Source organism: Homo sapiens, chromosome 5, assembly GCF_000001405.40.
Source record: "Homo sapiens chromosome 5, GRCh38.p14 Primary Assembly".
NCBI lineage: Eukaryota > Metazoa > Chordata > Mammalia > Primates > Hominidae > Homo > Homo sapiens.
In genome coordinates this window covers 141,978,303-141,990,292 of record NC_000005.10, presented here as the reverse complement: position 1 = coordinate 141,990,292, position 11,990 = coordinate 141,978,303, and the positions used below count along the sequence as shown (strand labels likewise).

At 39.5% G+C, this 11,990-nt stretch overlaps 1 protein-coding gene across 23 annotated transcripts in view; it reads right to left on the bottom strand.

Annotated features, from left to right (window-relative positions):
* The window catches only part of RNF14 (ring finger protein 14), a 40,956-nt gene continuing 28,966 nt past the window's right edge, over positions 1–11,990 (bottom strand). For 15 of the 23 annotated variants that reach the window (XM_047417904.1, XM_047417903.1, XM_047417899.1 and 12 more), the window contains 5 exons: positions 11,463–11,990; positions 9,942–10,170; positions 6,741–6,913; positions 5,360–5,490; positions 1–2,560 (listed from right to left, as the gene is read on the bottom strand). In XM_047417904.1, the coding sequence (XP_047273860.1) occupies positions 2,503–2,560; positions 5,360–5,490; positions 6,741–6,913; positions 9,942–10,170; positions 11,463–11,990 (1,119 nt within the window). In that variant the 3' untranslated portion in view covers positions 1–2,502. The remainder of the gene's footprint in view (positions 2,561–5,359; positions 5,491–6,740; positions 6,914–9,941; positions 10,171–11,462) is intronic. The other 8 variants (XM_047417908.1, XM_047417907.1, XM_047417906.1 and 5 more) reach the window with 1 other exon arrangement.

Here is an 11,990-nt window from a genome sequence, read left to right as displayed (position 1 = left end):
GTAGGTACAAAACTCTTTATTCTATCATATATTTTGCTGACACCACAACCTTCCACAAACCCATTTGTTTTACAGGGCATTTGGGGAGTTACCCAAATCTTTCATTTTACTGAGACAAAAGTACTCTACCAAAACTATACATCTTAAAATTAGCTCATAACTCATGCTTCAAAAGTATAACTTTATAAGCCCTATTTTCTTTGTTAAAATTGAGTGATGAAGACTTTGTACCTAAGAATCACTAAGGTGACCAAACAAATTTTTGAGACTAAACACCAAATACCTGTGTTGTTTTTAATATCATAAATGGGAAAAAAGGCTCCCATTTCTTTCATAAAACTGTATTATAAAGGCTTCTTTCCTACTTCTATGACATCATCAACAATGTATAACAGCTTAACATAAAATGATCTCTAGAAAATATCAAGTAGCTCACGAACTATAGAGCTTCTGAGTAGCTCTTTCTGAATAAATCTGAATTGAACTCTTTGATCACAGAAATCACTCTTCTCAGGTATATACTGTAGAACAAATCATTTTAATTTCCATTTCTTATCTTTAATTTATTCTTTAACCTCAATTTTTTTTTTTTTTTTTTTTGAGAAGGAGTCTCGCTCTGTCGCTCAGGCTGGAGTGCAGTGGCGCTATCTCGGCTCACTGCAAGCTCCACCTCCCAGGTTCATGCCATTCTCCTGCCTCAGCCTCCTGAGTAGCTGGGACTACAGGCGCCTGCCACCATGCCCAGCTAATTTTTTGTATTTTTAGTAGAGACGGGGTTTCACCGTGTTAGCCATGATGGTCTCGAACTCCTGACCTCGTGATCCGCCCGCCTAGGCCTCCCAAAGTGCTGGGATTACAGGCGTGAGCCACTGTGCCCAGCAAATTAACCTCAATTTTTACACAAAATGTCCTGAATGGAAGACCATGAAACTATCTGGTTTAAACAAAATATGGGCCCTAAAACCTAAGCTCAGTCACAAGCCCAGGTAAAAGAGATGCTATTCTGTGACCTTTTTTTTCTTACTTTAAGAATATGTTATATGCCGAACAGTTTTAAAATGTGATTAGTTGCCTTGGTGACAGAACAAATAGCAGCAACTCTGTTCTAATTATAAGATGATTTTTAAATTTATTTTTATTTTAAGACTAAGCATCCTCTTTGACAATCCAAAAACATAATCCTTGCTCACTCTGGACACACACACCTAAAACAGTTAAAAGTGATTCCTCAATTTGCAATAACAAAGTAGGAAAAAAAGAATACGTTCTCAAGCTGTAGTTCAATTTTTCTGTCCTCTTTTCCAAAAAATGTTACTTTGCTACCAAGCCTCCCACCAATGATAAGGAAAGACAATTTTTCAAAAAGCCAACAAAACCCAGAAAAAGGAACAGGTATCAATTCAAAATTATCACCCAGAACACTGCTGTTGCAAAGAAAGAGTATGAAGCCAAATTCCCATAGCTTGTTAGAGAAGATCTTTAAAAATAATTCAGAAAGTTAGGACTGGAACTACTGTAGTATAGACAGGTTATACTGTCACTATATGCATATACAGTGGTAAATGCAGATATAATTCAAGAACATTCAGCTTGGGAATATATTAAGCTTTCTCCTATTCCAGCAGAGGAAATAAAAACATGTGTTCCTGGAATTAATATTAAAATCATCCTTACAAACAGAAGGTAGGGCAAAGGTAAAGAGAGAGAATGTGGAACAAAAGTAGCAAAGACAAGCCATTTTGAATCTAGGTTCTAACACCCAGGAAGGCTGAATAGAACTTAAATTCTTCTGAGCCAGTATCACTAAATTCTAGATTTGGCCTGAAACCAGTGGACCATATACACCACTAATAAATATCAAGTGCCCCACAGTGTTTGTGGTATTAAAACATATATTTATATTATAAATTTCCATTCTGAAAAGCAGATCAAAATGACACTGGACCATCCAGTCAGTTACGGAGTAATGGGCTTCCTCCAAAGAGAACTGACTTGGCAGAAATTTAGGTTGGTAGGAATGTGATTAACATGGAGTAAACGAGATCAGGTTCTCAGTATAATTTTCATAAGGCTTCTACCCACTCCAGTTGTAAGGAATAGTACTGAGGGAACTCCAACAGAATGTCTTAGAAGGATGCTTCTCAGAGACAAAGGGTCTCTAAGTTTAACTCTTGACCCCTCTTCTCCTTACCTAAAGCTTGGGGAAGAAAATAAATATTTAATTTTTAACTATTCAGAGCTTTGGGCACATTATAATATTTAATATTCTGTAGTTTAATTTTCTGAACCTTTGGCTTATAAATTTTTCTCAACTTACATTTAAAAATGTATCAATGCACCTTCTTCAGTAGTACCACATGAAAATATAAACCTCGTTCTTCCATATCTTCTACGCAGGAAGAGTGAATGAATAGTACCCTAAATATCCCGCAAAGTTACTTTGTGTACTTGACGGAAGATTAGGGAAAAACAATCCACTTCCATATCTTGAGCAGTAGTTAACTAGTCTTCTACCTCATCTTCCCAAATATCGTCGTCAACATCCACAGCATAAAACAGCCTGGAAGCATTAAAAAAGGTACATTTTTATACACTTGAACGAAACAATATAAATTGCCTCTCCGCTGAAAAATATTTTTTGTACTCTTATAACATCTTTGTACATCTTTTCTTCTCCTTTAATCATTGCACTGAGGAGGGCTGAAATATGGGTCCCTCTGAACAATCTACCCTAAAGTTAGTTAAGAATGGCCCATTTAAGGTGGATGAGTACTTGTCCAGCTCCATTCCCACTGGCCTAGAAGATTTAATTGGCTGTCTTTTGGCCTTAAGTCCCTTGGCCATAGGGGTCCCACTGAGGGCCTAGATGGAGGCGAGGCAGGTTAGCCACACCACTCCAGCAATGATATGGGACAAAATAAGTTTGACCATCAATGCTGCCTCTGGCAAATCTCAGCCAAAAAGGGGAAAATGAGAAATAAAAATGATACCCTAAGCCCCACAACCAACTGAACAGACCCTCTCCTGGCCAAGGGAACCCCAGAGAAACCCTGAAAACAGTTCCCGGCCATGATGGGATGGGAGGCCAGACACACCTGGTCATACCCCCCTCCCTCACTGACCACCATTAGGCTTTCTTTCCCTAAGGGTTCAAACCAACCCTTTGGGAAGACTTGCTCCACCGCTGATATCAACCAACTGCCTGATGCTGCCCCTCCCTTCTGCAGTTTTGGCACAAAAACCGACCAGCATTTCTTCCTGCCAATAGACCACTGACCATGGAGTGGTTCTAGCCAGTCTATGGAGGATGTGGACTGAGGTTTTCGTGTTCTCTGCTTCACCTTTTGATATCAGAGAACTCCCCCAGAGATCATGCTAATGCCACCATTTTTTGAACATGGGTCCCCTGAAGGGTAATGAAGCTCAACTGCACATGCAGCGTTTTTCTCCTTTCATAAATATTCATGACTCCTCCTATACCTTACTGAATATGTATATCTGGCTATCTTGTAGGGCATAAATCCCTGTCTTCCTCTTCCCATCCTTAGAGTGTCTGTTTCCAGCTTCTGGCTGAAGGCTATGCTTCCCAACCTGTCATAACAGCCACCTTGCCGGCTTCAACTCTTTATGAGAAATAAAGCTCTCCTTTCCAAATTAAAACAAACGAACAAAACAGTCCTTTTAGAATCCAGACAAATTCTCCAGGGCCAAGGATAAACAATAATGAGGGATAGGTATCACAAAACTGATACTCAGCGTATACAATACATGGAATAAGGCAAGACTGGGGAAGTCAGGCAATTTAAACTGAACCCTTTCAAGACACTATTATTACTACTACATGCTCATCACTCCATTCTATCTTCACAGTCCTTGCACCCTCCATTTGTAGAATGTTTTGTAGCTGTCAATTTGTCTTCCTTTCCTTATGTTATCTACAACTTATGCAATTTCCAACACTAGATTTCCAATAGTTCATGGCAGGGCTTGTTTCTTCAATTTCTCTTACAGTTTCACAATACCAATGTGTTTACTTAACAGACACCTCTTAACAAAGATCATCAACTGATGCTGAAAGTGGAGAGCTCTTGGAGAACAGGATATTCACATTGTGCCAAGGAATCACCCCACAGATTACTTCCTAATAACAAAATGGAAAACTTGCCTTTACAATAAAGCAAACTGTAGAAATGAGCACCACACTAATGAGGGACATCATGGACCTCTTGATGTGATCCAATACGGAATACACATCACTCCTCATGAAGTATCAGCATAAAAAATGTTATTCTAAATCGAATCAAGCTTCAGTCTAGACCTAACTTCCAGTTTATAGCAAATAAGAGAAACAAGCTAAAGGACACCATGGACAAATAAAAGTCTAGAAGGTAAGACGTTATATAAGATAACTGACCTGGACTCTTCAAAAAGTGAATGTTTTGCTGGGTGTGGTGGCTCACGCCTGTAATCCCAGCACTTTGGGAGGCCGAGGCGGGCAGCTCACGAGGTCAGGAGATCGAGACCATCCTGGCTAACACGGTGAAACCCCGTCTCTACTAAAAATACAAAAAAATTAGCCGGGCGTGGTGGCAGGCGCCTGTAGTCCCAGCTACTCAGGAGGCTGAGGCAGAATGGCATGAACCCGGGAGGCGGAGCTTGCAGTGAGCCGAGACGGCACCACTGCACTCCAGCCTGGGCGACAGAGCGAGACTCTGACTCAACAAAAAAAAAAGTGAATGTTCACAAAACACACACAAAAAAAAGGTGGGCCAAAGCTTTTCTGTATTAAGAGACTAAAGAGATAGAACCAAATACAATGACTGAACTTGTTCAGATTCTGGTTCAATCAAATAGCTTTAAAAGATATTTTCAGAAATAATTAGGAAGTTTCAAATATGTTTGTTTACTAGATAATAGTATGCCACTATCATTAAGTTTTTTAAAAGTACTGTCATTATGTAGAAGCATTTCCTTATCTTAGGAGAAACGTGGAAATATTTAGAGTTGAAGCATTATCATAACTCCAACTTCATGTAGTTCAGTAAAAATGTTAAGGGAACAAATATGGCAAAGTACTATCAACTGTTAATTTGGGTGGAAAGTATCCTACTATTCATAGTCCTATCCTTTCAAATTTTCTGTGTTTGAAAACTTTCACTATAAAAACTTCCAGATGGTGTATAAGTCTCATTATAAAACTCATTTTTGAGAAAATAATATGAAAATTCCTTTATAGGGGAAAACATGTAAGAGAATTCTCTAAATAAGTCCAAGTACTTAAATAAAACACTGGATTTGTGGTCTGCAAATCAAGTACCAAAAATTGCTGGTGAGCCTGAGGAATTCTGTGTATACATACCGGTTAAAACATGGTGAACCAGGGTCATTGAAATGTTTGTAAGGGTTTGCTCTAGAGAGAGAACCCATGCAAATCCAACAGAAATATTGCATACAGCCAGTACATGTCATCTTGTTACATCCGTCTAATTTCTGGTGGGAAGGATAGAAAGAGAAAAATATCAAGGCTGTAAAAGCAGAAGAGACAGCACATGCCAAAATGATTCAGTACAACATTGTCTTGGTCCTCTCCCTTTTCTTATGCAGGGTTGAGATATCAATGTAACACACTGATGACTATGTAATTCTTTCTATTTTGCATTAGAAGTAAAATACAGAAAATAGCTAGTGTTACTACAATTAGTTACTTGGCACAATCTCTTCTGACAAGCAGTAGATAAAAATCACACAAGTATAACTGGAAAATGTAGTTAGATTAATATTAAAATGTTTGGATGTAACGTGTGGGTTTTTAATTTTTACAGAAATCTAAGTAAATATTTGGTACCAAGTCCTCCACTCTGTCATAGGGCTAAGGTATGTCAAAAGTGATTATATGGCCAGGTGTGGTGGCTCATGCCTGTAATCCCAGCACTTTGGGAAGCCAAGGTGGGCGAGTCATTTGAGGTCAGGAGTTCGAGACCAGCCTGGCCAACATGGTGAAACCCTGTCTCTACTAAAAATACAAAAATTAGCCAGGTGTGGTGGCTGGCGCCTGTAATCCCAGCTACTCGGGAGGCTGAGGCATGAAAATTCCTTGAACCTGGGAGGCGGGGATTGCAGTTAGCTGAGATTGCACTACCGCACTCCAGCCTGGGCAAGAGAGACTCAGTATCAAAAAAAAAAAAAAAAAAGTGATTACATATAGTCCTAGTTTCCTTAACTGGAGCCCACTATGTTCAGTTCAGACATAACAGATTAGAACAATAGAATCAAATGCTAAGATGTATTTTGATTTTAAAACATATTAAGATTTTTGTCAAGAAGCAATATATCTGTCTAATTATTTTGACTCAAATTAATTCCTGAGTGTATCTTAAACAGGTGTGCAGCATTCCAGGATAAATAGTTCTGAGAGATCAGATTTGATTTTTTTTAATCACATAGATGAGGTAAGAGTTGACCATAGCTCTAGTATGCCCTCCTTACAACCCATTCAATTTTGAGGTGGATACAATGTGAGAACAATGGTCACTGTAAGCAAATACTTTGAAAAGGGAAGTCTACAAACATTTAAGGTCGATAACAAGATCTAATAGTGAAATTTCCACCTTCCACGTAAGAAGGTGTAATAATACCAGCATGTGTTTTGTAAGTCATAAAATTGACTAGTAAGGCTTCTTAAGGTAATCATAACATCCTTGCAAGTCTGATGGCCTCCAAGTCTGTCCCAAAACATTTACCTCTATGGGAGTTCCACAACATGGGCAGCTCTTTGAGTTCTTCTCTAGCCACTCCTTACTTTCCATCTCTTCCAGTGCCTTCTGAATCACTCTCTTACCATACCTTTGATCCAAAAGTCTTTTATTAGCCTCATCCGCTTGCAGGTATTCATTTCGTAAGTCCATTAATTTCTCTACAAAGTGAAATGGAAAATTAACTTTTATATAACTTTGTAATGCTGACCAAAAATCATTAAAAATGGCTATAATCTTCGACTATTCAATAATGTTATTCCTAGAACTTTATCATAAGGAAATAATCCAAAGTCATATGCATGGAGATGCATATAACAATGGCAAAAAAATTAAATTTCTAAGGAAATAATTATGTTTGGAAGAGCCATTTAATGACATAATATTCAATTATTAAAAACATAATTAGGTTCGCTACAACCCAATTAAAACACTCATCACAGAATCCAGAAAAAAAGTATATTTATGTTATAACCCAGTAAAAATTATACTTGCACAAATGATAATAAATGGAAAGGAATCCCCCAACTAGAAAAGATGTATCTGCTAAAAGTGGTAGAATAAGATAGGCTATTTTTTTCCTTTGATTTTGATTTCTTAATGTTGGTATGTTTATGCATCTAGAAGTATGCAGTTAAAGACTGACTTATCTAGAAGACACAAAGGTTGAAACAGACATTGATTTTTCCACTAAGTCAGCACCATTCACTGTTTGATAATGAAGAGGCCTACCAAATACAAAGGCACTTTTGGCTTAAGGGCAAAGACTACCTCTTCAATTCTGTGTAAAAAAAAAAAATCAGTGAATAAAACTTAGCACCCAAGTCTCACCCCGTACTATGCTTTGCTACAGGTGCTGAAAAGTTTTCCCTCGATACTCTTCAATCTGGCTTCTACTGCTCTATCATTTAACTGAAATGGAACAGGTAACCAATCCCAAAGGTTTTACTTGCAGACAAAAGGCTTTTGTTCACAGTTGTATTACCTTAATTTTTCAATACAATTAATTAAAGAGTTTTCTCAACAATGTTCTAGTTATTTTATCAGTTTACTTTCCTCACATTATTTGGAAGTCTATCTCCCTTTTAAAGCAAAAGACATCTTCTGGTATAGAATCCTATATCCTATCTCCACTCTTTGCTTTCACCTGTGAATTCTTTCTCTGTGTAGTACATTCCCACAGCTTCATCACCTCTACTTCAATGTAGCAGTGAAGCAATGTAAATCTCATCCCTCTAATAATTCAATGCATTTTTGTGTTCCTAGGCATCTTAAGGACAAAGGTTATATTGCTTTAGTCTTCCCAAAATAATAAAATTGTATTTCATATTTTATATAATATATACATACAAAGAGAGGGAGAGATTCCTAATTTTGCTAAAGCCCTGAATCTATCTTCAATTTCTTCCCTGAATGCTGTGAAACACTTGAAATGTACTGTTGACTTTTAATGAAAAGGTTACAGAAGTCTAAAGTAAAGGCTTATATTATACATTGCTAAGTTCTCCATTCCATCTGGCCTTACCTTCTGCAAGGTGCTGCCTGAGGCAACTGAAATTATCTACCCACTCTTTCCTCTCATGGTACTTTCTTGGAAATAATGACAGTCTGCTAACATTAGCAAGTAATAACTACAATAATAATAGCATTAATAATTACTATTTTTCTTTTTCCTCTTTTTTTTTTTTTGAGACAGGGTCCCACTCTGTCCCCCAGGCTGGAGTGCAGTGGTGCAATCTGGCTCACTGCAGCCTCTACCTCCCAGTTTCAAGCGATCCTCCCGCCTCAGCAACCTGAGTGGCTGAGACTACAGATGTGCACCACCACACCTCGTTAATTTTTGTATTTTTTTGTAGACACGGGGTTTTGCCATAGTGTCAAACTCTTGGACTCAAGCAATCCGCCCACCTTGGCCTCCCAAAGTGCTGAGATTACAGAGGTGAGCCACTATGCCCAGCCCCATTCTGCATTTTACATGTATTAGCCCACTGTTTCTCAAACTATTTATGGTAAAGGCCCAGTTTATTTTTTCTCTGATACGTCAAAGATCAACACTTTTATAAGATATAACCAGGTTTGCTTGATTTAATTTTTTTAGAAGCAGAGTCTCACTACGTTGCCCAAGCTAGTCTCAACTGAGGCTCAAAAGATCCTCCTGCTGTAGCCTTCTGAATAGCTAGAACTACAGGTGTGCACCACCACAGTCAGCTAACAATCAATTATTAGAAAAATGAAAAAAAGTCTAAATTTTTATTAGATTTGACATAAAATTATGTGAAATCACTATAAAAGTTTCTAACCCTCTCAATTTCTATATATTATACACCAGTGTAACAAATATAACAATTTTGAATAGCATGATATTCGTTCCCTTCATCCTTAGAATAACCCCGTGAAGTTATTGTTATCTGCTCTAGCTGCAATTTTGTGAGGTAGCTGTTATCATTATCCCTGTTAGTCTGAAGAAGACTAAGCCACCAAAGTCCAATTAAATCGACGTTAAGGGCCTGATTTATGATTCCTTACGTAGACTGGAAACGGCAAACACATTTCACTCCTGTGTCTACTTCATCAGAGGGTAGCTTTCCGAAGTGCCATGTTGAGGAAGATTCTGAGGCCTCTCTGGGCTCAAGGAGAAAGCATTTGATGACTAGTCAAACACATGTGCCATGGAGACAAGAATGGCAGCTTAGATGCCCTGCATTGGCCATCCAGGATCTACATTATTCCATGTTTGTATATAGAATTTCCTGTGCCATTCCTTCTCCTGGAATGTTCCTCCCTGGTATCTGCACGGTTTTTCTTACCTCCTTCAAGTCCTTACTTAAACCATTTTGCCGGTGAGGCCTCCCCTGTTTTCCCTAACTAAAATCCCAAGTCCCCTCCCCTTCAGAACATTTCATATCCTGTCCTTGCTTTATTTCTTCTGCCTCTTCAGCACTTACCACCACCTAATATCCTTATTTTGTTTTCCTGTCTCCCCTGGTAGAATGTGAGTTCCATGAGGGCAGACATTTTGTCTCTTCTGGTCACTACTACAGCCCCAAGGCCTGAGATAGTCACTGACACAGAAATATCTGCTAAATGAATACTTCCAAATTGAAGAATGAAGTCATAAGGCCCTGGTAGTAGAGTGAAATGTGAGGGAGAGACTGGGGATGGGGGTTTGGGTTCACAGTTAAAACATACCTGCAGTCACCTTACATGGGGAGACCCCATGGTAGGTCAACCTGCACAAAGTACAGAAGGCAAAATTGCAGCTGGAGCAGATACCCATGGTGCAGCCAGGTTCCTGCATCACAGGCAGCTGGCAGCACGGCCGGGGGCAGTACACCACATCTGCCATCAGGTCCAAGGAGGACTGGAGGAGAAGGCGGTCATAACGGGCAAATAACTCTGCTTCCACTAACTCTTTGACCTGGAGGGAAATACAAAACACCATAGGTTTGATGATTCCACAACCAGTTCTGAACCTGAGGCGATTCTTAGGATGCTAGTGTAAACCAGATGGGCACATAAATTAAAACCTCTCTTTCACTTCAAAATCAAACCAAGTACATTTTGACTGAGATGACAATTATAGGGGTCTACACATTTGTTAAAACTAAGCAAAGTGTCCAATTTATTTTATATTTTAGTTTTATTTCTTTAGAGATGGGGTCTTACTCTGTCGTACAGACTGGAGTGCAGTGGTGCAATCATAGCTCACTGCAGCCTTGAACTCCTGGGCTCAAATGATTCTCTACCTCAGCTTCCCAAGTAGCTAGGGCAACAGGCACTTGCCATCATGCCTGATTTTTTTTTTTTAAGACATGGAGTCATGCTATTTTGCACAGGCTGGTTTTAAACCCCTAGCCTCAAGCGATCCTCCTATCTTGGCCTCCCAAAGTGCTGGGATTATAGGTGTAAGCTACCATGCTAGCCTTGTATGATTTAAATGTGTAGTTTATTTTAAGTAAAATTATGCTTTAATAAGAAAACAAAAAACTGGCCAGGAGCAGTGGCTCACGCCTGTAATCCCAACACTTTGGGAGGCCAAAGCGGGAGGATCACTTGAGGTCAGGAGTTCAAGACCAGCCTGGCCAACGTGGTGAAACCCCGTCTCTACTAAAAATACAAAAAAAATTAGCCGGGCATGGTGGCGGGTGCCTGTAATCCCAGCTACTTGGGAGGCTGAGGCAGGAAATCACTTGAACCTTGGAGGCAGAGGTTGCCGTGAGCTGAGATCATGCCCCTGCACTCCATCCTGGGTGACACAGCAAGACTCCATCTCAAACAAAACAACAACAACAACAACAACAACAACACCACCACCACCTAAGTAGGCTGTACTTCTGCTGAAGTCTATAAAAAAGTTGGTTAATCATTCTAAGAGACGTCCCCTTCAGATGCCAACCTCACACAAGAATAAGCTAGTGATTCCCCAAGGTTTATGGGATCCTACTAGCAGATATACAAAGTAAATTATCACAATTACTTAATAACTACTTTAACACTCATCCTTGCCCACTGCAAGGCCAAAGGAAGCATTCCATTTGCTTAAGCAGTAGACTAAGACCATAGCATTTTTAATGGATACAGCAAAACAACTTGTGGGCTGGCTCCAAGGCCTCGGACTGCCCCATGAGCCCTATCAAGGAAGTTCCTGAGATGATATCTCCATTTATGGAAGAGAATTAGGAGGCAACCATCAGCAGGGTAAACAGTTACCTGACCAGGAGTGGCCACCGAAGGGCACTTTGGTTCTGGGCAGTTGAGGCATTGAACCTGGCCATCTCTGATCTGGATTTCAAAGTAGTCCTTCAGACAGGCTTTGCAGTACACATGCCTGCACTCCAAGAAGTACATGCATTCACTACCCAGCTTCTCACAGAAACAGATACTGCACAGGAACAATTTACTATTAAAGCATTTTATCTGCTGAGCTTGATCAAAGTCCAAGATTTCCTGGATCAGATTTGACAGTGATTCCACATCCTGCACTGCTCTCTCATCCACAATTTCCTCTTGGTCTACATCAGATCCAGCAGCTCCTCCAAAATCTAGCTCTGTGTTGGGAGAAGCTTGAGCTGTCCTTCTCTGCACTTTTTTCTGAGAACCAATCTTGAGCTCAAAAGGAGAGACAATATTCAAGTATGCTAGGGTCTCTTCCTTAAGAAATTGCATCCAGGCAAACAGGACCACGCTGCCACGGTGTTCTTCCCATAGGTTGTCTAAGTGCTTGCATAGAGCAGATAG